At 57.8% G+C, this 22,763-nt stretch overlaps 2 protein-coding genes across 7 annotated transcripts, besides 14 other annotated features; both read left to right on the top strand.

Moving 5' to 3' along the window:
- Positions 17–534: an enhancer, noted in NCBI's record as "H3K27ac-H3K4me1 hESC enhancer chr16:30661003-30661520 (GRCh37/hg19 assembly coordinates)". NCBI's record gives its function as "activates a minimal SCP1, AML or CMV promoter by ChIP-STARR-seq in naive H9 embryonic stem cells {active_cell/tissue: H9 hESC(naive)}" and the evidence as "EXISTENCE:reporter gene assay evidence [ECO:0000049][PMID:30033119]".
- Positions 535–1,050: an enhancer, noted in NCBI's record as "H3K27ac-H3K4me1 hESC enhancer chr16:30661521-30662036 (GRCh37/hg19 assembly coordinates)". NCBI's record gives its function as "activates a minimal SCP1, AML or CMV promoter by ChIP-STARR-seq in naive H9 embryonic stem cells {active_cell/tissue: H9 hESC(naive)}" and the evidence as "EXISTENCE:reporter gene assay evidence [ECO:0000049][PMID:30033119]".
- Positions 535–1,163: a biological region, named in NCBI's record as "H3K27ac-H3K4me1 hESC enhancer GRCh37_chr16:30661521-30662036".
- Positions 754–1,163: an enhancer, noted in NCBI's record as "active region_10716". NCBI's record gives its function as "activates an Ori minimal core promoter by ATAC-STARR-seq in GM12878 lymphoblastoid cells {active_cell/tissue: GM12878}" and the evidence as "EXISTENCE:reporter gene assay evidence [ECO:0000049][PMID:35858748]".
- On the top strand, positions 1,113–6,748 carry PRR14 (proline rich 14). Of its 2 annotated transcripts, none has more exons than NM_001320464.3 (12): positions 1,113–1,141; positions 1,931–2,003; positions 2,131–2,299; positions 3,056–3,177; positions 3,249–3,438; positions 3,700–3,743; positions 4,565–4,674; positions 4,964–5,549; positions 5,686–5,755; positions 5,837–5,928; positions 6,203–6,274; positions 6,367–6,748. In NM_001320464.3, the coding sequence occupies exons 2-12, from the start codon at positions 1,981–1,983 to the stop codon at positions 6,644–6,646; spliced, it is 1,758 nt and encodes a 585-aa protein (NP_001307393.1). In that variant the 5' UTR covers positions 1,113–1,141; positions 1,931–1,980; the 3' UTR covers positions 6,647–6,748. The 2 variants fall into 2 exon arrangements, with proteins under 2 accessions (NP_001307393.1, NP_076936.1); NM_024031.5 differs by lacking the exon at positions 1,113–1,141 and adding an exon at positions 1,295–1,462.
- Positions 1,184–1,383: a silencer, noted in NCBI's record as "silent region_7382". NCBI's record gives its function as "represses an Ori minimal core promoter by ATAC-STARR-seq in GM12878 lymphoblastoid cells {active_cell/tissue: GM12878}" and the evidence as "EXISTENCE:reporter gene assay evidence [ECO:0000049][PMID:35858748]".
- Positions 1,654–1,943: a silencer, noted in NCBI's record as "silent region_7383". NCBI's record gives its function as "represses an Ori minimal core promoter by ATAC-STARR-seq in GM12878 lymphoblastoid cells {active_cell/tissue: GM12878}" and the evidence as "EXISTENCE:reporter gene assay evidence [ECO:0000049][PMID:35858748]".
- Positions 8,182–8,441: a silencer, noted in NCBI's record as "silent region_7384". NCBI's record gives its function as "represses an Ori minimal core promoter by ATAC-STARR-seq in GM12878 lymphoblastoid cells {active_cell/tissue: GM12878}" and the evidence as "EXISTENCE:reporter gene assay evidence [ECO:0000049][PMID:35858748]".
- Positions 8,472–8,551: a silencer, noted in NCBI's record as "silent region_7385". NCBI's record gives its function as "represses an Ori minimal core promoter by ATAC-STARR-seq in GM12878 lymphoblastoid cells {active_cell/tissue: GM12878}" and the evidence as "EXISTENCE:reporter gene assay evidence [ECO:0000049][PMID:35858748]".
- Positions 8,602–8,781: a silencer, noted in NCBI's record as "silent region_7386". NCBI's record gives its function as "represses an Ori minimal core promoter by ATAC-STARR-seq in GM12878 lymphoblastoid cells {active_cell/tissue: GM12878}" and the evidence as "EXISTENCE:reporter gene assay evidence [ECO:0000049][PMID:35858748]".
- Positions 8,766–21,145, top strand: FBRS (fibrosin). Of its 5 annotated transcripts, NM_001105079.3 has the most exons (18): positions 8,766–10,312; positions 10,598–10,777; positions 11,515–11,550; positions 11,639–11,668; positions 12,755–12,803; positions 12,894–13,194; positions 14,550–14,851; positions 15,050–15,255; positions 15,370–15,414; positions 15,641–15,736; positions 15,973–16,041; positions 16,847–16,876; positions 17,254–17,325; positions 17,655–17,772; positions 17,877–17,957; positions 18,895–18,978; positions 19,107–19,314; positions 19,404–21,145. In NM_001105079.3, exons 1-18 carry the CDS (start codon positions 9,854–9,856, stop codon positions 19,978–19,980), a joined length of 2,943 nt encoding a protein of 980 aa, NP_001098549.2. In that variant the 5' UTR covers positions 8,766–9,853; the 3' UTR covers positions 19,981–21,145. The 5 variants fall into 5 exon arrangements, with proteins under 5 accessions (NP_001098549.2, XP_011544218.1, XP_011544219.1 ...); XM_011545916.3 differs by lacking the exon at positions 16,847–16,876; XM_011545917.3 differs by lacking the exon at positions 11,639–11,668.
- Positions 9,032–9,481: an enhancer, noted in NCBI's record as "active region_10717". NCBI's record gives its function as "activates an Ori minimal core promoter by ATAC-STARR-seq in GM12878 lymphoblastoid cells {active_cell/tissue: GM12878}" and the evidence as "EXISTENCE:reporter gene assay evidence [ECO:0000049][PMID:35858748]".
- Positions 9,602–9,831: a silencer, noted in NCBI's record as "silent region_7387". NCBI's record gives its function as "represses an Ori minimal core promoter by ATAC-STARR-seq in GM12878 lymphoblastoid cells {active_cell/tissue: GM12878}" and the evidence as "EXISTENCE:reporter gene assay evidence [ECO:0000049][PMID:35858748]".
- Positions 9,902–9,951: a silencer, noted in NCBI's record as "silent region_7388". NCBI's record gives its function as "represses an Ori minimal core promoter by ATAC-STARR-seq in GM12878 lymphoblastoid cells {active_cell/tissue: GM12878}" and the evidence as "EXISTENCE:reporter gene assay evidence [ECO:0000049][PMID:35858748]".
- Positions 11,162–11,321: an enhancer, noted in NCBI's record as "active region_10718". NCBI's record gives its function as "activates an Ori minimal core promoter by ATAC-STARR-seq in GM12878 lymphoblastoid cells {active_cell/tissue: GM12878}" and the evidence as "EXISTENCE:reporter gene assay evidence [ECO:0000049][PMID:35858748]".
- Positions 20,571–20,764: a silencer, noted in NCBI's record as "fragment chr16:30681557-30681750 (GRCh37/hg19 assembly coordinates)". NCBI's record gives its function as "represses an EF-1alpha promoter that drives an FKBP-Casp9 reporter gene in an ReSE screen in phorbol 12-myristate 13-acetate-treated (for megakaryocytic differentiation) K562 erythroleukemia cells {active_cell/tissue: K562(+PMA)}" and the evidence as "EXISTENCE:reporter gene assay evidence [ECO:0000049][PMID:32094911]".
- Positions 21,146–22,763: the final 1,618 nt, after the last annotated feature.

The following is a 22,763-nucleotide window of genomic DNA, read 5'->3' on the forward strand; positions in this document are numbered from 1 at the left end:
TTGAGCCCAGGTGTTCAAGATCAGCCTGGGCAACATAGCGAGATCCTGCCTCAAATTAAAAAAAAAAAATTAAAAAAGAAAAGAAGTACTGGTTTGGACCAGGGAATCTGGGGAAGGAGAACTAGTGCAGACATGGGCTTTGGTTAAGCGGTCAGGGCACCTTCATAGCGCTGCAAGAAGCCACTACATGCCCACTTCCTCCCCACCAACAGCCCAGCTTCCAGTAAAGGGTCCATGACGCAGCTCCTCCAAGCAGCAGCGTCCCACCCTGATCCCTTACTCCTCAGGACTATTTACACCTCCCCCATCCTGCGGGCCCCACTTGAGACAGTGGTTCCTGAGAGCCGGGCCCCACTAGCAAGCCAAGGTATATTCTTGGCCTCCTGCAAAGATGCCCCTGTCCTATAGACCTCTGCGCGGACCGTGGGCACCCCCACTTCTCCAGGAAGAAGTAGGTGGGCAACACTCAGGGGAAGTCAAGCTTAGCGCCCCCAGTCTCCTCCCCACTTCGGCTCGGTCCCATCTCTCCAGGACAAGGCGCCAGCAACGGAGCCACAGGCCGCACCAGCCCGTCTTTGATCCCGGGTGTTCGGACTCAGGGCCTCCACCACCCCCTCCTAAACTCGGACCCTGGGCCGTGGGAACCCAGTTTAGGAACCCAGGAAGATGCCGGAACCTTCCTCAAACGAGGCCACTCTAGGAAATTGGGAATTTCACATATCGTTAGCACTCAGTCGACGTTTATTGGCCTAAGAACGAAAGAACCGGAAGATGCCCTTAAAAAGCGTGGCGGCACTCTAGCTTCAATCGGTTGCCTCAACATATCAAGAAACCTGGCATTGTATATGGCCCTCAAAAGATGACGCCACCCGGTCCACCACGGTTCAACGAGGACTAAGACATCTGCCCTCAACCATCATGGCGGCGCCACTCAGTTTGGCTTCCTGCCCCTAGGGATGATGGCCGCCAGGTGGCTTCACTTAGTTTCTCACCACCCCGGAAGACGGGGACCGGCGATTGGGCGGTGTCCAGAGGCTCCGAGAAGAAGGCCATCGGCGGTTGGGCAGCGTTGGGTAAGCTTGGTTTTTAAAGGAGCCGGAGGTGGGAGCTGCGGAAGACCCGGGATCCACGGGAGGCGGCGGTGAGCAGCCCTTGGGGGAGGGCAAGGAGTGGCTGGAGAGAGGGCGGGAGTGGGGGCGGGGAAGGAAACTTCTGAACCATCTGGTCCCGGGCCGGGGGAGACCGCTGGGCGGGGACGCGAGGAGGGAAGGGGCGTCTGTGGGCGGGACCTCCCGGGATTGGAGTGAAGAGGGTATCTGCTTGACAGTGGATCCCTGGGGATCTACGCTGAGTTCGGAGATGCTCCAGCTCGGGCCGCCCCTGTCTGAGCGGAGCTTTGCGGCGCTGAAGCTTACAGGGGAAGGAAAAGCCTCGCCCGGCGTCTGATTGGCGGAACCGCGCTGTAGGATTCTTTCCTCAGGGATCCAGTCTAGGGGATCTGGTGGGATGGAGGGTCGTCGATGTATGGAGTATTGCTTTGGAGTCCTCGGCCACTCGCTGGGAGAGGAGGAGGATCGCAGAGGGATCCAGCGGAAATAGCCTCCCAGGACCGGGATCCCCGTGGATCCCGGGGGATCTCGGGGCATAATCTGCAGGGACAAAGGCCTCGGGAGGCTCGGGCCGCGGGAGAACTGGGGCCGCTGCATTCTGGGTTCTGGCGGCAGGTGCCAGGCAGGGCGCGAGTGATCCGCTGATCGAGGCGGTGGCAGCGGGAGGACACCCGCTCCGGGCGACCGGCCGGGGGCGCCCTTTCGCGCCCCAGGGCTGCGGCCGCTGGGCTACGGGGAGCCGCGGGCGGACCATGAAGGGCGGAGCCCCAGGGAAGGGGCCGGCCCTCACCCCCCGCTCCCCCGCTCCCCCCTTACCCCAGGCCGCAGCCTGGGATTCCCCAGGGACCCCCCCGGAGCCGCCGCGTCTCCCATGGACTTGCCCGGGGACTCCAGGTGAGAGCGTACCCGGGCGGCCCGCCTGTCTTGACCCCGGGAGATGGGGATCCTGGCGACCGTGCCGGGAAACTACAGAGCCAGCGACAGGTTCGGGCGACCGTCCTCTGCTTCTTTCACCCTCCAGCCCGCCTGGCCAGCCGCGTCTGTGCCGCCAGCCTCTGACTCGAGCATTATGGGGAGCCAGGAGCCCGAAACGGCCGAGGCTGCAGCTCCCGGGGGCCCCTTCTCCCCTGGAAAAGGCCTCTCGGCGGGTCCTGGCCGTGGTGCTAGAAGATGTCATGGCTGTTCACATGGTGAGCCCCCTGAACCAAGAGACTCTCTATTCCCCCATGACTTTCCTCACTACCAAACTCGGGCCAGATCCCTACTGAGGATAACTGAAGTCCAAATCCATCATTGTTGTACTCAGCCCTCAGGCAGCCTCCCTCATGGTAGAGTCCTGCTTGGCTCCCACTTACTCCAACCTAGAATTGGGCAGTGCCCATTCCACCCACCAACGATTTTGGGCTGGAACCACATCCCTGTAACTCTGAGAAACTCTTCTGCTTCTTTTTTTCTATCTTTTTTTTTTTTTTAGAGACAGGGTCTTGCTATGTTGCACAAGCTGGTCTCAAACTGGCATCAAGCGATCTTCCCATCTCTGCCTCCCAAAGTATTGGGATTACAGGCGTGAGCCACGGCGCTGGGCCGAAACTCTTCTGCTTTCTTCCCAGCCCAGCCTCCTTAGGAAGCAGGCTGAGGTCTTTGACTCCACTGCACAGATAAGAAAAACTGGCCCAAAAAAGGCAGTGACCCACCCTAGCTCACCCTGTCTTTTTCATTTCTCTAAACAGCGTGGATGAGATTACCCAGGTCCTACACCTGCAGTTTAGGACTCTTAATATCTGGCCCCTAATTCAGTCCAATTCATCTCTTCTCTTGGGATCCGAGTGAATTCTAGCCCCAATCTCTGTTATGTTTGTGGCTCAGGGCACTGTGAGGCACAGGGAAACCTTGTCCCGTCCAGCCTCATTCTATCACCTTGCTCTTGACACCTCTTTCTCTTCCAGGTCCCCGTGGTGCCCTCAAAGCAGACCTCCATACCACAGCACCACAGCTACCATCAGGATCCTGTCCACAGGCAGCCGCCTGCCTCGCCACCCCGGCAGGCCGGGTGGTCCTCGCAGGCCAGGTGAGCATGGCAGGATGGGGGTAAGCCGAGGGCCCAGCTGAGCCATTTTAATCTTCCTGTTCCCTCGCTAGGCCTCCCGACCCTCTGTGTTTGTGTCGCGAGCCCTTGAGCCGCATCCACCGGACCTCTTCCACCCTGAGGCGGCGATCAAGGACAACCCCTGGCCCAGAGGAGGGCCCTTCACAAAAGGTGGACCGGGCCCCCCAGCCCACCCTGGTGGTGATGCTGGAAGACATCGCCAGTCCTAGACCCCCCGCTGAGGTATGGGAACTGAGGGTACGGATGTCAAGGGTTCTGCTGGGTTCCAGCAGGGATAGAAGGGTAGGAGGCCTGAGTCTTAGGTGGGTTTTTCTTGGGGTGAGGAGGATGGCATTTTAGGCGGCAGACACTGCCTGAGCAAAGACTATATAAAAACGTCTTTGGCGTGAACCCAAGCAGCTATCCGGGAACTGAAAGAGTCAGGATGTGGGGCACTAAGGGGGCTTTCCTGCCTCCCCACAAACATCCCCTATTTTTATCCAGGGCTTCATTGATGAGACCCCCAACTTCATCATCCCAGCACAAAGGTGAGAGGGCTGGAGTAGGGATTATCAAAGGATCCAGGCAACAGCCATCATCCAGGTAGCCAGAGCTAGGGGCATCGGGACTGACTGATCCAATCCTTCCTTGTGGCATCTTAAAAAGCCTTAAGGGGCCGGGCACGCCCATGCCTAATGCCAGCACTTTAGGAGGCCAAGGCAGGAGAATCGCTTGAGCCCAGGAGTTTGAGGCCAGCCTGGGCAACCACATCACTGTGACCATATCTCTACAAAACGTTTTGTTTATTTATTTGTTTGTTTTTGAGATGGAGTTTTTGCTCTGTTGCCCAGGCTGGAGTGCAATGGTGCGATCTCAGCTCACTGCAACCTCTGCCTCCTGGGTTCAAGTGATTCTCCTGCCTCAGCCTCCCGAGTAGCTGGGATTACAGGCATCCGCCACAATGCCCGGCTAGTTTTTGTATGTTTAGTAGAGACGAGGTTTCACCACGTTGGCCAGGCTCTTGAACTCCTGACCTCAGGTGATCCACCCACCTCGGCCTCCCAAAGTGCTGGGATTACAGGCGAGAGCCACCATGCTCAGACAAGATATTGTTTTAAATTAGTTGGATGTGGTGGTCCATGCATGTAGTTCTAGCCACTTGGGAGGCTGAGGTGGGAGGACTGCCTGAGCCTGGGAGTTCAAGGCTGCAGTGAGCTGAGATTGTGCCCCTGCACTCCAGCCTGGGCCACAGAGCAAGGCTCTGTCTCAAAAAAAAAAAAAAAGAAGAAGCCTTAAGGGATAGGGGAGTTGCTGGCTCAGGTGGGATACCTGGAAGTTCCCCTAGCCTTTACCTTGCCCTTCACCCCAGAGCTGAGCCCATGAGGATAGTTCGCCAGCCAACGCCTCCACCTGGGGACCTAGAACCCCCATTCCAGCCATCTGCTCTGCCTGCAGACCCTCTGGAGAGCCCACCAACAGGTAAGGACTTGGGTAGAGATCGGATGAGACTTGGGTGTCTGGGACATCCTAGTTGAGCTTGGAAGTGTCAGGTACAGAGTTGGGGATAGGGCTTAAGCCACCTCCCAGGGCAGGGCTTGGTATATAAAGATGGGATGTTGATGTCAGAGGCTTGAAGTTCAATTCTTAAATGCAGAACTTAGTGTTTTAAGGGTGGGCTAATTCCCCTGTGCACAAAGTTGAGCATGTGGGGAGGGGCTGAGACACTGCAGCCAAGGAATATCCACCTGTGACCCTCTCCTTTCCTCAGCCCCAGATCCTGCTCTGGAGCTCCCATCCACCCCACCACCGTCCAGCCTTTTACGCCCCCGCCTCAGTCCCTGGGGCTTGGCCCCGCTCTTCCGTTCCGTCCGCTCCAAGCTGGAGAGCTTTGCTGACATCTTCCTCACGCCCAACAAAACCCCACAGCCCCCACCCCCGTCCCCCCCAATGAAGCTGGAGTTGAAGATCGCCATCTCAGAGGCCGAGCAGTCTGGGGCTGCTGAGGGCACTGCGTCTGTCAGCCCCCGGCCCCCAATCCGCCAGTGGCGAACTCAGGACCACAATACCCCAGCACTTCTCCCTAAGCCCTCTCTGGGCCGAAGCTACTCCTGCCCTGATCTGGGGCCCCCTGGCCCAGGTACCTGCACCTGGCCACCTGCTCCACCCCAACCAAGCCGACCACGGCCGCGGCGGCACACTGTGGGTGGTGGGGAAATGGCCCGAGCCCCGCCACCCCCTCGGCCCTGTCTCCGGAAAGAGGTCTTCCCTCTCGGAGGAGTGGGAGCCTCCCCTTCTCTCACCACATCTTGCTCGTCCACGGCATCCACTTCCTTCTCCGAACCAGCAGAACCCAGGTAGTGCTCTCAAAAAACCCCCTTGAAGCCTGGCTGCAGCCTGGTCCCAGCCTCCTTCCCTGAGTATCCAGTGGGCAGGAGACGGGGGATAATGCAGTGAATCCTGTTTGTCCCTGAGCCTTGACCTTCTTGGCAGGTTGGGTTCAACCAAAGGGAAGGAGCCAAGAGCCTCAAAGGACCAGGTGCTTTCAGAACCTGAGACCAAGGTAGGCATTCAGATCGGGTAGAAGAGACTAGTGGGGGCCTGAGCCCATGTCACTCTTTCACCCTCTGCCCCATTTTTGCAGACCATGGGAAAGGTTTCTCGATTCAGAATACGCAGAACACCAGCCCGTCCTCAGCTAAACCTTACACCAATGGGACTGCCTCGACCAATCAGGTGAGGGGCTCACTGGGCATTGAGCCATCTTGGCCAAACAGATGCAGGCTTATGTCCCCTGAAGTATAGCTTTGTCTCCCCTCAGGGAGCACAGTCCAGCCTGAAAGATTCAATTCGGTGTGGGGATGGTTTGTGCTCAAAATTGCCTGTCTGCCTTATGTAGCACTCCTGGCCCTGACATGTCCCAGAAACTGAAATACAGACCAGGCCTTACCTGTCCCTTCAGGCCCCACTGGCCCAAGGTTTCTCAGTGGCCTCTGCTCTTTGCTCACAGGTTGAACAAGAAGGAGTTCAGCTTGGAAGAAATTTACACCAACAAGAATTACCAATCACCCACAACCAGGAGGTGAGACACTTGGAAGGCTAGAGGGTGGCAGAGGGAAATCTGGAGCTGTGGAGCACCCTGATAAAACCAGCTCCTCTCCCTGCCTTGTTCAGGACCTTTGAGACCATCTTTGAGGAACCCCGGGAGCGCAATGGGACTCTGATTTTCACCAGCTCAAGGAAGCTCCGGCGGGCTGTGGAATTTCGGGACAGCAGCCTTCCTCGATCACGAAGACCGTCCCGTGGGGTCCGGGCTGCAGGGGGCAGGACTGTTCCTCCCAATGTGGCCCCCAGCCCTGATGTGGGCCCCCTGCTCCAGCAGCGGCTGGAGGAGCTAGATGCCTTGCTCCTGGAGGAAGAAACAGTAGATCGGGAGCAGCCCCACTGGACCTAGGTGCCCCATCTGTTGGTCATCCATCCTGAAGGGACAGGAAACCTCCCAGGCAGTTATTTTTTTTTCTCTATATTTCTAGTAAAGTTTTCGATATGTTTCTGATTCTTTTGTATCTCTAGCTGAGTTTAAGATTGATTTGGCTGATGTTTCTACGTTGACCCCCAAAGGTCTGGGAACTGGGGCTGGTGCTAGAGATGGTGACAGGGGTTGGGTACAGAGTACAGGGAGGGGGTGAAGTGGTCACTTGAGATAGATAGATAGATAGATAGATAGATAGATAGATAGATAGATGATAGATATAGATGGAGTTCCGCTCATGTCACTCAGGCTGGAGTACAATGGCACGATCTTGGCTCACTGCAACCTCTGTCTCCCTCATTCAAGCGATTCTCCTGCCTCAGCCTCCCAAGTATCTGGGATTACAGGCGTGCGCTACCACACCCGCTAATTTTTGTATTTTTAGTAGAAACTGGGCTTCACCATGTTGGCCAGGATGGTCTTGAACATCTGACCTCAGGAAATCCGCCTGCTTTGGCCTCCCTAAGTGCTGGGATTACAGGCATGAGCCACCATGCCCGGCCTAGAGATACTCTCTTGCTTAGAGGATTCTCCTGTGTGGAGGGACACTTCTGAATCAGTGCCAGATGATACTGTGACCCTAGACCGTGGTCTGGGTTCTCCCAATTCATTTATATCAAGGAGACTGAAAGGCCTATAGTGGGTCAAGGCCTTGAAGATCAAGATGGCCCTGAATTCCTGCTAACATGCAGGCCAGGACCTGCTGCTGGATTCAAGAGCTACGGCTAGGCCAGGTGCGGTGGCTTACGCCTGTAATCCCAGCGCTTTGGGAGGCCGAGGCAGGTGGATCACAGGAGCCTAGGAGTTCGAGACCAGCTTGGCCAACATGGTGAAACCCCGTCTCCACTAAAAATACAAATATTAGCTGGGTGTCTTGGTGTGTACCTGTAATCCCAGCTACTCAGGAGGCTGAGCCAGGAGAATTCACTTGAACCCGAGAGGCAGAGGTTGTAATGAGCTGAGATCGCACCACTGCACTCCAGCTTAGGGAACACAGCCAGACTCTGTCCCCCCCAAAAAAACAAAACAAAACAAAGAGCTAAGAGTAATGGGCCATAATGAAGCACTCACGACGACTGTCATAGGTGCTTGACCTGCACATGTCCCTGCGACAGGGAATTAGTCATTTTATGGACGAGAAAGCAAGGCAGGCATGTCAGCGCGCTGTCCACTTTTAAAACGGTAACCCGGGCAACCGAAGGCCAGAAATGGCTGTCTCTTTTTTTTTAAGCCAGTCACATTGAGCAGTGGGGTGCATCTTTCATAACTGAGAGGCATCACAGGGCAGTGGCTGACATAGACGTGGCTAGGAGACTACCAGCCCGTCTGTGCGCGCATTCCTTTCCGTCCCAGTAAAATGGGGCTGACAGCATCTCCTTCATGGAATTATTACCAAACGCAGTCACAAACGCGGAGAAGCGCTCATGCAGGTGCAAGGCGTTTTCGAATTGCTAGCACTCGGGACCGCTGCCAGCAGCCGCGCCTGGAAGGGACGCGGCTGCCTGTTAGTGCGGCCGGCGCAGGCGCAGGCACAGCACGCGGCCGCTCGGGCCACCCCGGGCCGCGGAACGACTCGCAAGCAGCCAGCCTGACGGCGGCGCCGCCACGCGCGTGCGCGAGACGCCAGGCTGTCTGTGGGCCGCGCCGAGCGGCGGAAAGGCGGCGATGACTTAACTGGCTGTGGAACGGAACCTCTTGCAGCCGCGCGCCCCCCGGCGGCCAACCGCCCCCAACGCCTCAGGCCCCGCGTCTCCGCCCCTCGCCTCGACGCCATCAGGAGACCGGCCAATAAACAAACAGCAGGAAGAGGCGGGGCCCTGTAGTAACCGCCCCAAACACCTACTTCTAACCAGTCGAGTCACAAGACTGGGGGGAAGGGCGGAGCCAATCCGACGTAACCCAATCCAAGATTTGAGGGCGGTTACATGCACCCACTCCCTCGGGTTTGGCTCCGCCCCTCACCTTGACGTAGCCCTCCCAGCCTATCAACGACTGCGCCCGTTGGGGGTGAGGGGAAGGGGGCGGAGCGTGGGAGGAGGCCGAGAGAGGAAGGAGGCGTAGGCTGAGGAGGAAGAGGGAGGAGGGGTAGGGAAGTCCTGGCGGAGAAGCGCCCTAAGACTCCAAAGGAGACAACAGGAGTTTGTGCTGGAGCTCCCCCGCTGCCCATCGGCCGTTCCGGATCCCCTAAGGCCCAAGTCGGACAGAGACGGAGGAAAGGAGGAAGAGACTTTTATGTCGGCGGACAGGGGAGCTGTACCCGTCACCGTTGCCTCACATCCGGGGCTTTGGAGGGCTGGCCTCGCTGCCCCGCCCCGCCTCGCGCCTTTCATGGCGACCGGAGGCGGAGGCTGGAGGAGCTGGGCCCGGAGGAGGCCCCTTTAAATCTCCTTAAAGGGGTGGCCACTGAACTCGGCGGACTGCAACGCCAGCCTTAAAGGGGAAGCCGCCGAGCAGACGCTGACAAATTGAGAACTGTGCCGTTGGGAGAACTGGGGCGAGTGGGGTTTTTCTTTACGTCCTCCTCCCCCACACACAAGAAGTCTTTTAAATTCAACTTAAAGGGGAAGTGGCCGCTTGTGGAGGACTAGAAACTAACTCCGAGCCCTTAAAGGGACGGCCTGCTGTTAGAAGGACCCTGGACTCCTTAAAGGGGTGGCCTCTTTGAGCCGGAGGACTTGAGACACTTTTAAAGGGGAGGTCTGCGTTTCGGGGCGAGCTTTCGGCCCCTTTTAAAGGGGTGGCCCTTCCTCTTCCTCGGGGAGACTTGCATCGACCCCTGGCAGGGGGTGGCCACCGCACTAGGCCGCCGGACACTGTCGGGTCGTCTTAAAGGGGCCGGGAGCTGGACAACTTGGGGCCTCGCCTTAAAGGGACGGCCGCCCCGTTTTCGCCGTCGCGGCCCCGCCGAGCCCGCAGGGGGGGCCCTCGGGCTTGTCGCCCCGGGGGCGGCGCCGGCTCCCCGGGCCGTGGCCTTGGGGCAAGCTCGGGGCCAGCAGATCCGGCTTTAAAGGAGAAGCCGTGGCCCTCTCGTCACTGTGCAGCCGCCAGCGCCGCGCCTGCGACCCCGGGCCTGCGGACAGGCCGCTTCGGGCCCCGCCGCCTCCGGATGCGGCGCTGAGGGCGGTCGCCATGGAGACGGCAGCGGCCGCGGCCCCGGGTCCGGGCTGGGCAGCAGAGGGGGAGCGCCGACGGCGGCGCTGCTCGCGCCGAGACCGAGACCGGGAGCAGCGGCGCCGCCGAGGTCCAGGCGGCGACGCGCCCCGGGCCCTGTTGGCCGCCCCGCGCGGCTCCTCGTCCTCGTCGTCGCCGCCGCCGCCCGCCAGGCCTTGGTCGTCAGCTTCGTCTGGAGAGCGGCCTGGGGGCCCGAGACGCCGGCGGCCCCGTCCGAGACCTCGACCCCCGCGACCCCGAGCTCGGAAGCGGCCTGCCGGCTCGGGCAGCCGCGGGGAGGAAGAGGAGGAGGAGGAGGAGGAGGGGGGCGCAGACGACGGCGAAGCCGAGGAGGAGCCTGAGGAGGAGGAAGAGGAGGAGGAGGACTTGATCGATGGCTTCGCCATCGCCAGCTTCGCCACCCTCGAGGCCTTGCAGGTGGGGCCTAATGGGGCTAGGAGACTTTGGGGGTTTCCGAGGGGCAGCAAGGAGGGGGCAGTGCCCCTAGTGGGTGGAGTTGAGGGGGGAATGCTGGCACCCCAAACCAGAGCAACCGGCTCCTCTGGCCAGGCCTCTGCCCCGCCCTGGGGTGGGAGGAGGTAGAGCTCGTCTCTGGGGACCCGGTTTCCCGGCCCGAGGGGTACTTCGGCAACCTGGTCACCCCTAGAGGGGTTGGGAGCTTGCCCTTTTCCATCTATCTCAGCCCCACCTCCTCCTCCACAGAAGGATGCATCTCTTCAGCCCCCAGAGCGACTGGAACATCGGCTGAAGCATTCTGGGAAGCGGAAAAGGGGGGGCTCCAGTGGGGCCACCGGGGAGCCAGGGGACAGCTCTGATCGAGAGCCTGGCCGGCCCCCTGGGGATCGGGCCCGAAAATGGCCCAATAAGCGGAGAAGAAAAGAGGTGAGGTTGTCCCTTAAAACTCTTTAGGCAGAATGTATTTCCCACAGCCCCGTTTTTCATCAGCAACGCCACTGCCCCTTGTAAACAGAGACCCCAGTTTCTAAGGGCAAAGAGGCAAGCAGGGCAAATTTGAGCCCTTACTCATCCGGGTCTGACGAAGGCCTGTCTACAGTCAGGTGCACCTCCTTTTGCCTGGTTCTGTGTCTACTTCAAACGTTTTGATAATTCAGAGAGGCGTCAAAGGAATATAGTTGGGTCGTAAATTAATTGTGGTTCCTGCCCTTCCTCGAGGTGGTGGCAGTCCAGCAGAAAAGAAATAGCCAGCAAGCAAACACCTAGACCTTAATTTGAGAAGCTACAGAAGACAAAGATGGGGAGAGATGCTACAGAAACCCACATGAGGAAGCCGCTTGTGCTGCCTGGGGGATGGGAGGAGAGTTGTGGTTGGGGAAAGCCCCCTAGGATGTCTTAGTCAGGTCCTGAAGTATAGTCAGAAGTTTGCTAAGAAAAGACACGGGGAAAAGTTGTTTTGGGCAAGAGCATGAAGACGTGAGGACCCGGCGTATTTAGAGAATGGTGAGAGCACTGGGACCCGGGTGGGCAGTGGCGGGAGAAGCAGCTGGAAGGAGAGGCTGAGAGTAGATCCTGGAGGCCCATGAGCGCCCTGCTGGGAGCTGCGACTTTCCCAGCTGCCTCAGCAGCCGCCTCCCTCACCTCTGGACTCTGGTCTTCCTCAGGCGTCCTCCCGTCACTCTCTGGAAGCTGGATACATAGTAAGTGCTATCCACCTGTCCTGGCCCCTCCCTGCTCCACCCTGGGCCTCTTCCCTCTCGTGACACCTCTGTCTTTCCTTCTCCCCAGTGTGACGCGGAAAGTGATCTGGACGAGAGGGTGAGTGGGGCTAGAGCTTGGGTGGGCAGTGTCACTGCTTGTAAAAGGGACTGCAGCATAAAGGTCTTCTGCGTGCAGCAGACAGCCTTCCCTTGAGTGAGAAACATGGCTTAGGTTGAGTCAGGATTAGGTTTTTGGGAGGAACGGGGGTGGATTGGGAGGGTAAATGGCGTCATTTTTTCTTTTGGTGACTAGGGGTTAGCTGACCAAGGAATGGAGGGTCCATGCTTTGGCATACTATCCTTTCCAAAGCCCTTGAGCTACTTCTGGTTCTCCACGGAAACCCAGAGTGGCTGTGGCACTGAGATGGGCCTTCTTCCCATCTTAGAATGAAGATCTAGATTCAAGTCTGAGCAGAGACCGCAGATAGAGTAGTGAGGACACTAAATCATTGTAGTCAGTGTAGGGACTCAGCCCATAAAGGTGTATTTGAGTTTATCCTTAGGGGCGATTTGCTTGTTGTGAGATAGTATGTCCTAGAAGTTAATGCGCTACCCATTGGGCCCATGTAAGTAACTCAATTTGCACTCCCTGATGTGTGTCTTGTTTTTGTTTCAAAAGTTGGCTGGATAGGACTGTGGTGAACCAGAGGGTTCTTGTCAATTTCCGTCATCCATCTCTATCTGTCTAGGCTGATTGTTGCTACGAGAACAGGGGGCCCATTCTTGAGGCAATCTGCAAGCCTGAGTTTTAATGAGGAATCTCCGGATTCTTAAATATCTGCAGTTGGTTTAAAACTTTTACCAACGCTGGTGGACCAAATAAATCTGTAAGCGAGGGAGGCCTGTGGGCCAGCAGCTAGTGACCTCTGACGTTTTGGTTTGGTTTGCCTGCTTCTCTGCTGCTTCAACGCTGCCTCCATTTAGTCCTCTTGGCCTATCGGATTCTTGGGGTCAGCTGCTCCACTCTGCTTTTTCTCCAAGCTCAGCCCCCTAGAGCCCAGTCTTTGATGGATCTCAGCTAAACTGAAGGAACAGACTTGCCACTACCACCAGTTCCTAGCAGCCTCCAGAGGCTATTTGGCCTTCCTGGGTGGAGGCCTGGCCCACCCACAACCTAACTCTATCCCTTGCCCTTCTTCCCCAGGTCTCCGATGATGACCTCGACCCATCCTTTACTGTCTCAACCAGCAAAGGTTGGTCCCAAGGTCTGGGGCTGGAGGCACGGGAGGGCAGTGGGGTGAGCATGAGCCTCAACTGAGCATGTCTGCCATCCTGCCCCACAGCCTCGGGCCCCCACGGCGCCTTCAATGGGAACTGTGAAGCAAAACTCTCCGTGGTCCCTAAAGTGTCGGGCCTGGAGCGGAGCCAAGAACAGCCCCCGGGGCCCGACCCGCTGCTAGTGCCTTTCCCCCCAAAGGAACCACCGCCTCCACCGGTCCCTCGGCCTCCTGTCTCACCCCCTGCACCCCTGCCGGCCACTCCCAGTCTGCCACCCCCACCCCAGCCCCAGCTGCAGCTTCGGGTCTCACCCTTCGGCCTCCGCACTTCTCCATATGGCAGCAGCCTGGACCTCAGCACTGGCAGGTGAGTGGTCTTGGGGGATTGATGCGGTCCGGAAGGGCCTGGTCAGTTTGGTGGCGGGGACACAGGATGGTACCTGTGGGGTATGACTTGAAAAAGGATTCTGAGACTGAAAAGTTTGAGAAAAACAAATGGAAAGAGATGACTGCAGGACTTATTTGAGTCCGTTACACATTCCCATGCAGGGGAATCCAGGCTGTGCTGTTTCCCAGTTGTGTTTGCTGGTGAGAACGTTTTTTCAGGCAGGCAAGTCTGCTCGGAATAGTGTTCTTTGGAACATACTTTGGGAAATGCTGACATGATGGTTAAGAGCGCTGGCTTTGGTGTCAGACCCAGATTCAAATTCTTGCTCTGACGCTTCCTGGCTGTGTGATTTTTGACAAGTCACTTAACCCCTCTGAGCCTCGATTTCCTCTTTCTGTCAAATGGAATGATCATAGTACTTTCATCTTAAAGCTGTTGTGAGGATTAACTACGAGTGAATGCAGTGTTTCCCAAAGTGTGTACATTCAGCGTCAGTGATATATGGGATGATTTCAGGTCTTACGTGAGTAAACTTTAAAAAATAGTCCTGAGTTAGCTTTTGTGAACTTTAGAAAGCTGAGTGTCATGCCTCAGCCCCTTGATTTCACACGCGATTGCTTAGGGGGAGGCTAAGTTAAAAAAAAAAAAAAGGAAATTGAGTTCTTAAAAGAAGCCATTGATGCAGTTCAGATGGTTACTTTGCTGGGCAGCAGTGGGGAAGGTGGCGTGGAATGTTGGAGACTTGGATTAGCTTTTAAAGCAGGTGCCAGCACTTGGCCTACAGCAGGTGCTTGCCACAGGGTAAGAACTATTGACACTTACTATTGATGCTCTATTTTGTCACCGTCATTGTCATTGTTATTATTGAGAAAACTAAGGCTCAGAGAGGGGCAGTGACTTGCTCAAGGTCACCCCGGGCATTCATGGCAAGATGGGCCTAGAATTCAGGTCTCCTGACTCCCAGGCCAGGCCAGTGTGGTGCTGCTTCCACTGTTGTAGGGTGGGACCCCAGGTGGCTTGTTCTAATTAAGCGTCAACATGAATGATCTGTTCTGTGCTGTGGTTGAGTCAGAAAGGGAAAGTCATCTGGCCAGAGATGGCAGAGGCAGCTGCGTGGATGCAGAGACCTAGACAGGGAGAAATAGGGGTTGCTGGGTGTGGGAGGCGCCTCAGTCTGAGAACGGATTCCCTCGGTGGGGGGCGGTCCTGGGGCTGGGTTCTGCCACCTCCCGTGTTGGAGAACCAGGGTCACGGTATCACCCAGGCTTCTGACCCCCTCCCGTCAGAGCTGGCACCTCCCAACCCCTCACTCATCTCCCCACTTCTCTCCCCAGCTCTTCACGGCCGCCCCCCAAGGCCCCGGCCCCTCCCGTGGCTCAGCCTCCCCCCTCATCATCCTCTTCGTCCTCCTCCTCCTCATCTGCCTCCTCCTCGTCCGCGCAGCTCACCCACCGGCCCCCGACGCCCTCACTGCCCCTGCCTTTGTCCACCCACAGCTTTCCCCCTCCCGGGCTGCGGCCCCCCCCACCACCCCACCACCCCTCCTTGTTCTCCCCTGGCCCCACCCTGCCCCCACCCCCACCCCTGCTGCAGGTGCCAGGGCACCCTGGGGCCTCAGCCGCTAACGCCCTTTCTGGTGAGTTTGGGGTCCTGGCCGGGGGGTGGGGGGCCATCACCCCGGGCTCGGGCCCAGTTGGCTTTGGGGCACCTGAGCCTCAGCAGACAGCAGGGCTTGAGGAGGGAGTGGCTCGAGGCCAGAGGGAAGGCAGTCACCTGGGCCCAAGGAGGCTGATGTGGCGACAGCATTAAAGCCTTCTCCCGTCCCCTCCCACAGAGCAGGACCTGATCGGCCAGGACCTGAACTCTCGCTACCTGAATGCCCAGGGTGGCCCTGAGGTGGTGGGGGCAGGGGGCTCGGCCCGGCCCCTGGCCTTCCAGTTCCACCAGCACAACCACCAGCACCAGCACACCCACCAGCACACCCACCAGCACTTCACCCCTTATCCCCCGGGCCTGCTGCCACCCCACGGCCCCCACATGGTGAGCTCCTCATTGGGCTGGCGATGAGGCTCGGAGGCCTCTGGGGAGGGCATGGCTTCTGGGGGAAGGCCCGGGTCCCTGGCTGGCAGCTTACTCTTCCCTTCTCTTCCCTAGTTTGAGAAATATCCAGGAAAGATGGAAGGCCTTTTCCGACATAATGTGAGTGTGTGTGTGCGTGTGCGTATGGGGTGTGTGGTGTGGGCGTGGATGCATCCATGCTTGTGACCCTGACTGCTGGGGTCCAGTCTTCAGCACAAAAGCAAGAGCCTTGAGCCTGGGACAGCTCCCTGGGGGGCTTTAGGGTGGAGGCCCGTGGACTGACGGGCAGGCTGGACTTGGGCTGCGCCTCCACCCCCACCTGTACTAGTCCCCCTTCTCTCCACAGCCGTACACGGCCTTCCCTCCCGCAGTGCCCGGGCTGCCTCCGGGCCTCCCGCCGGCCGTCTCCTTTGGCTCCCTGCAGGGGGCCTTCCAGCCCAAGGTGAGCTCCCAATCCAGACACCACCACCGCCTACCATCTTGACAAACCCAGACACGCCGGGTCCAAGCACCCTTCTCCCATTCCCCAAAGTCGTGCCCATCCTCCTGCCCTGCCCTGCTGCACCCAGTTTTCTCCAAAGCCATGATCCCTCCCTGCCCAGTGTCCCAGCTTGGTTCTGGATCCCTTTGTGCTTGGTGCCAGCTCTCCTGTCTGATCCCTCCACTCCCCTTTCCCAGAGCACGAACCCTGAGCTGCCACCACGACTGGGGCCGGTGCCGAGCGGGCTCTCCCAGAAGGGGACACAGGTGAGGGGGCCAGGGCAGGTCCTGGGGGAGCTGGAAGGTGTGTTGCGGGGAGAACAGAACTGACTTGAGGAGAGTGAACTGCTGATTCCTCCCTTGAATTCACAATCGGGTGTTCCTGGGTGTCTAATAGAGAGGGAATTTCTGTAAATAGCTGGCTTTCCCAGGCATGAGGAATGAGAGTTTCATGAGCTTGTCCCAGAAATAGGATGATTAGGACAATGGTTTTTGTAGTGGTTTTCAAACTTTTTAATAAAGTTACAAAACACTTTTTTTCCAAATGACATCATACCAGGAAGCCCTGTTCGGAAAACAAAAGATAAGCTGCCCCTTGGTGAAGTGAGGAGAGCCAGAGCCTCCCTCCCCTTAGCACTTGCAGCAGTGTAGACCCCAGGGCTGCGGGAACGTTGTGAAACGCACAGGACCAGTTTCCTACAGGGAAGACTAGGCCAGAGGTTTTCCAACTTCCTTCAAAGGCATTTTCCCTAAATAAATCTTAAACAGACCGCTATACTCTAAAGTTGGTAATAGGAGAGCTTCTCTGAGAAACCTGTCCTGCCTGCCCCCTCACCACCCGCAGCCTTCCAGCAGGGCAGCTCCCTGGGGCTTGGTTCAGAAACCTTGTGCTGGAGGAGAGATGCCTAGACTGGGAGAGATGGGGAAAGGAGTTTGGGCCTGAGCAGGAAGGGTTTGAGGGAGTCCCAGTGTCTCAGGCATGTTGGGGGTGAGTGGATGCTGTGGAGATGCGAGGCGCCTGGCCCAGGACTCGGGTCTGAGTCGCCTCCCATCTCTCCTTTGCCATCCCCAGATCCCCGACCATTTCCGGCCACCTTTGAGGGTGAGTTGTGTGAGGACCTCAGGCTGCATGAGGCTGGGGGCTGGTGTTAGCATGTTTGGCTAAGGGGGGTTTTGCTTACAAATAAGTGAGAAGCCCAGAACATGGAGGCAGCCAGATGTGGAACAGCAGAGAGTGAGGGCTTTCAAGTTGCAGACCTGGGCTCGGATGGAACTGGCCATGGGACCTTGGGCAAGGCAGTTGATCTCTCTGAGCCTCAGTTTCCTAGGCTGTAAAATGAACCTAGTCATCCCTTGGTTGTAGGAATGATGAGTAGGGATATTTTGTGGCGAGGCTGGGCCCAGAGCCAGGCCTGGAGTGGATGATGAGTGAACGTTCTTTCCTTCCCTTTCCCTTTGGTCATCCTTCTGGGGCGGCAGAAACCAGGGAAGTGGTGTGCCATGCACGTGCGTGTGGCTTACATGATCCTGAGACACCAGGAGAAAATGAAGGTACTGGGGCCGGAGGGCTGGGGAGAGTGGGTCTCAGAGTCAGGGGAGGACTGAGCTCTGGGCATTGGCCCTCAACAGAGCTCAGCAGAATCTTGGCCAGAAACATTCTCTCCTGTCCCCCATCACTGCTGAACAGTTCTATGGCTGGCACCTTAGTTCTCTGGCTCATTAGGGGGCTGCTCAGAGAAGGCTCCGAGAGAGGCAGAAGATAGGCATCCAGGCCCCATCTGGGTGCCAGCCAGCCTTTGGAGGGGAACCACGGGTGAGAGAGCAAGAGGGGGACCAGACTGGCTCCTCATGTACTGCCCCTCTCCCTGTGTCCCACACAGGGTGACTCCCACAAGCTTGACTTTCGGAATGACCTCCTGCCCTGCCTTCCGGGGCCCTATGGGGCCCTGCCCCCTGGGCAGGAGCTCTCCCACCCGGCCTCCCTCTTCACTGCGACTGGTGAGTCTGGCCAGCCCCCTCGGGCCTGAGGTTCCCTGTCTATAGCCTGAGGCCCAGCTTGTGCCCACTCAGCCTCATCAGAATCTCCCACCTCTCTGCCCCAGGTGCCGTCCACGCTGCAGCCAACCCTTTCACGGCAGCTCCCGGGGCCCACGGACCCTTCCTGAGCCCCAGCACCCACATTGGTAAGAGCCAAGGGCGTGTTGGGCAACCCAGGCTTTGTCCCTGACTTCCAGGAGATGGAAATCAGACCCAGCAGGCAGCTGGAATGCAGGATAGACCTGGTTCCACTTGCTTAGTGACCTTGGGCAGGTTACTCTACCCCCTCTGAGCCTTGATTTCCTCATCTGTAAAATGAGTAGGGAAGGGCAGGGTGACTTCAGTCTCTGCCAGCTGGAGCCCTGTCTCCCAGTAGCCAGTGGCAGGGGCAGTACGCCACCTGGAAGGGGAAGGTGGGGAGGCCATGCTGGCCCAGGGGAGAGCATGGCCACTGACTCCTAGGATCTTGGCAGGCTTCTTGGGGAGGTTTCACCTGGGTTTGGGTGGACAAGGAAGAGTTGAGCCTGGTGGCTTGGAGAAAGGTGTTCCTGGCTGGGGACGTGGTGACATTCCAGTGGCGGGATAGGTTAGTTGTTCTGTCTGGCTGTGTGACGCATGCATGAAGTTAGGGTCAGGTCGGGAAGGGCCCTGCATGTCAGGTGGGGGGAAGCCAACAAGGTCTTCAGGCTTGCTGCGGAGCGGAGATCTGCTGTGATGGGTCCAGGCGGCTGGTGTTGGGGAGTTGGGGAGAAGAGCGTGACTTCATGTCAAGGAAGCCCTGGGTTGGTACCGCTCCCTGGCTAGATGACCACCAGCAAGTCATTTCACCTCTCTGAGCCTCTCTGTTTTATCATCTTCAAGTGGGCATGATCCTAACCACCTCTTGGGCTTTTTGTGAGGTTAACCGACAGGGTGCTTGTCAAAGCTCAACACCTTCCTGGCCCAAGGAAGTGCTCAGCACATGGCTGCTGAAAGCAGGCAGCTGAGGACTCCAGGCACCGGTCCTGCCTCTGCCCAGCCAGGCCTGGTGCCTGCTCAGCACCGGCTGCCCAGTGCTCTGACCACCCCCCTTTCCTCCCACAGATCCCTTTGGGCGTCCCACAAGCTTCGCCTCTTTGGCTGCCCTCTCCAACGGGGCCTTTGGAGGCCTGGGCAGCCCCACATTCAGTGAGTGCGGGTGCGGTGGGGTGGGGGGGCTGCGGCCACAGGGTGAGAGCTCAGACGGTCTGGGAGGAGGCCTGAACAGGGCCTCCCACTTCTGGCCCCTGTCACTCTCTGCTTCACCCTCTGCCCAGACTCCGGCGCCGTCTTTGCCCAGAAAGAAAGCCCAGGGGCCCCACCAGCCTTCGCCTCCCCACCGGACCCATGGGGCCGCCTGCACCGCAGTCCTCTGACCTTTCCTGCCTGGGTCCGGCCCCCTGAGGCCGCCCGGACTCCAGGCTCAGACAAGGAGCGGCCTGTGGAGCGGAGGGAGCCCTCCATCACCAAGGAGGAGAAGGACAGGTGTGCCTCCCACCCACCCTGCCCCTGCCCCACCCTCAGCCCCTGCTGCCCCTGGAGAACTTCATTCTCTCCCCACGCCTGCCCTCCAGGGACCTCCCCTTCTCACGGCCCCAGCTCCGAGTTTCTCCTGCTACTCCCAAGGCCCGGGCTGGTGAGGAGGGGCCTCGGCCAACCAAGGAATCTGTGCGGGTAAAGGAAGAGCGGAAGGAGGAGGCTGCCGCCGCCGCTGCCGCTGCTGCTGCCGCCGCCGCTGCCGCCGCCGCAGCAGCCACTGGGCCCCAGGGCCTTCACCTGCTGTTTGAGAGGCCCCGGCCGCCCCCGTTTCTGGGCCCTAGCCCACCAGATCGCTGTGCTGGCTTCCTGGAGCCAACCTGGTTGGCAGCACCCCCACGCCTGGCAAGGCCACCCCGCTTCTATGAGGCGGGTGAGGAGCTAACTGGACCCGGGGCCGTGGCCGCTGCCCGCCTCTACGGTCTGGAACCTGCTCACCCCTTGCTCTACAGCCGCTTGGCTCCTCCACCACCACCTGCTGCGGCCCCGGGAACCCCTCACCTTCTCAGCAAGACCCCACCGGGAGCCCTTTTGGGGGCACCACCTCCGCTTGTGCCCGCCCCCCGGCCCAGTTCCCCACCTAGGGGCCCTGGCCCAGCTCGGGCTGACAGGTGAGGGGAACGGGGGGGGGTCGGGGCAAAGCTCCATCTCCCCTTCCTTTAACCAGGTCCTAGGGCTGAGGTTTTAAGCCAGGGCTGGAGGGCAAAGGTCATAACCTCACCAGCCACCTCTGAGGTCATGGAACCTGGGAACAGAAGCCTCAACCCCCACAAGACCAAGCATCACATGGAGTGTAGGGTCACTGGGAGAGCAGAGGTCACAGCCTCTAGAGAAGGGAGAGGGGCGTGTGCATGGGAGTGTGGCTCATCTCGGGGGCCATGGGGCCTCCTGAGGTACACCTTTGCCCCTGTAAGGGCCTCTAGGCCCTGGGCCTGCCTCCCCAAGGGCTCACTAAGCCAGAGGCCAAAGTGCCCCCTCCCGTTCACCTACCACCCAAGTCCTCATGCCCTCCGAGGGCTGGGGGAGGAGGGGCTCAAGGAAGGGGGGTTCCATGTACATATTTATCACCCCTTTCACATAGCCCCAAGACCTTTTGTACATTTTTACAGGGGTGCCCCTCCCAACAGTTCCCTTCCTGGTTAATTAAACCCTCAGACTGGTGCTGTGTTCCTAGCCTCTGGCCTCTCTGTGGGGAAAGGGGACTGCAGGGGGAAGAGCCGGGAAGGGACAGTCAGGCTTCTCCCTGGGAAGGTGGGGCCAGCAGGAGATGACCAACAGGGGGCAGGACCTGGGGACCTGGGCTGGAGGGAAGGGCAGAAGCTTCCTACTTGGCTGACAGCCCCGGTTCCCCCAACATGTTCCCGTTCACTCTGCCCCCACCCCCAAAGGCTCAGCCTCTAAATCTCAGACTCCACCACCTCTTAATGGCTCAGTCCCCTTCACCCCATTTCCAAGTGCCCCCAGGACTCCTGGGCCCTGCTTCCCTGAACCCTGTTCTCCAAAACCCTGCCCCAGGCTAAGGGTGGCCAGAGAAGGTCACCATGTACCACACACCAAAGAAGGGGGTCGGCCCAGGGGTGGGCGACACAGGCAGCTTCTTCGGCAGCCTCACGGCAGCAACCCCAGCCTTCCCAAAGCAGCAGGCGCCTCCAGGCTGGGGCCCAACCTAGAAGGCAGGGGTCAATCTAACAAAACCCTAACGTTGACTTTTTTCCCTGGTGGGGCTTCTTCTGTAACATGACTTGCGAATATTTATATAAAAACGAGTGTTACAATGAGACCCCCGGCTCCTCTTTGAGTGTGTGTGGGGTGGGTTGGACCAGGGTGGGGTGTGTGGGTCCTGGGGTAAGGGAGGGATGAGGACAGTACTGTCCGTATCCCGCCAAGGTTTTCCTCCCTGCCATCCACTGGGCAAGTTGGTCTGCCATTTCTGGAGGGATGGGTTCGAGGGTTGGGCACTGAAGTTTTTCACACTGTTTTTCTATAATCCAGGAATACATAGTATGTAGGATTCAAGCAACCCAGTAAGACACTGAGCAAAACATTAAATTTCTCCTTCACCTGCCAACCTTCCCAAGCCCCATCCCCTTCCCCCAGGTAACCGCTGTAAATCATTAGGTGTATATTCTTCAGGTCCTTTCTATGTGTTCTCGCACATGTCTGCACAGGCAGAGTATGTTTAAAAAGATCTGTAATTTAAAATTTTTCTGGTTTTTGTGGAGTAATACATAGTCATTATAAAACCATTCAAACACACAAATACAGAACACGGAGGGAAAGTGCTCCATCATCCCACCTCTTGAGGATAACCAGTTTTTTGCTTTGTTTTGTTTTGTTTTGTTTTTTTGAGACGGAGTTTCGCTCTTGTTGCCCAAGCTGGAGTGCAATGGCACGATCTCGGCTCACCGCAACCTCTGTCTCCCGGGTTCAAGCGATTCTCCTGCCTCAGCCTCCCGAGTAGCTGGGATTACAGGCATGCGCCACCACGCCTGGCTAATTTTGTTTTTTTTTTTTTTTTTTTTTTTAATAGAGATGGGGTTTCTCTATGTTGGTCGGGCTGGTCTCTAACTCCCAACCTCAGGTGATCTGCCTGCCTTGGCCTCACAAAGTGCTGGGATTACAGGCGTGAGCCACCGCACCTGGCAACCACTGTTAATTTTCGGGGAAATTCCTCCAGTTATTTTTCTAGCTACTACAGGTCACTGCAACAAAGCGAGGCACATGAATTTTTTCATTTCCTGGTGCATATAAATGTTATGGTTCTGGCTGGGCATGGTGGCTCACGCCTGTAATCCCAGCACTTTGGGAGGTTGAGGCAGATGGATCACGAGGTCAGGAGATTGTAGACCATCCTGGCCAACATGGTGAAACCCTGTCTCCACTAAAAATACAAAAATTAGCCAAGCATGATAGCGTGCGCCTGTAGTCCCAGCTACTCAGGAGGCTGAAGCAGGAGAATTGCTTGAACCCAGGAGGTTGAGGTTGCGGTGAGCTGAGGTAACGCCACTGCACTCCAGCCTGGGCGACAGAGCGAGACTCCATTTCCAAAAAAAAAAAAAATTACTGTTCCACAATACTGCAGTCTTAAGTGAGCAATAGTGTTATGTCTATGAAAACGGTACATCCCTTAATTTTTTAAATGCTAACAGTCATCTGAGCTTTTGCAAGTCGTAATCTTTTTGCTGGTGGAAGTTCTTGCCTCATTGGTGATGGCTGCTGACTGACTGAGGTGGTGGTCGGTGAAGGCTGGGATGACGGCGGTTTCTTGACAACAAGGAACTTTGCCTCCTTGATTGCCTCTTCCTTTCACTTGAACACTTAGAGGCCATTGTAGGGTGTTATTAATTGGCCTAGTTTGAATATTGTCTCTGGGAAGAGGGAGGCCCAAGCACAGAGAG

This window comes from Homo sapiens, chromosome 16 (assembly GCF_000001405.40).
Source record: "Homo sapiens chromosome 16, GRCh38.p14 Primary Assembly".
Lineage (NCBI taxonomy): Eukaryota > Metazoa > Chordata > Mammalia > Primates > Hominidae > Homo > Homo sapiens.

What these genes read in the sequence shown, in the direction of transcription:
- PRR14 (NM_001320464.3), top strand. Translation starts at nt 1,981, where the DNA reads ATGGACTTGCCCGGGGACTCCAG. An exon ending in GGGTGGTCCTCGCAGGCCAG is followed by an intron (nt 3,178 to 3,248) that starts GTGAGCATGGCA and finishes TTCCCTCGCTAG; the next exon opens with GCCTCCCGACCCTCTGTGTT. An exon ending in GTCCTAGACCCCCCGCTGAG is followed by an intron (nt 3,439 to 3,699) that starts GTATGGGAACTG and finishes ATTTTTATCCAG; the next exon opens with GGCTTCATTGATGAGACCCC.
- FBRS (NM_001105079.3), top strand. Translation starts at nt 9,854, where the DNA reads ATGGAGACGGCAGCGGCCGCGGCCCCGGGTCCGGGCTGGGCAGCAGAG. An exon ending in CTCTGGAAGCTGGATACATA is followed by an intron (nt 11,551 to 11,638) that starts GTAAGTGCTATC and finishes CCTTCTCCCCAG; the next exon opens with TGTGACGCGGAAAGTGATCT. An exon ending in CACCCCACGGCCCCCACATG is followed by an intron (nt 15,256 to 15,369) that starts GTGAGCTCCTCA and finishes TCTCTTCCCTAG; the next exon opens with TTTGAGAAATATCCAGGAAA.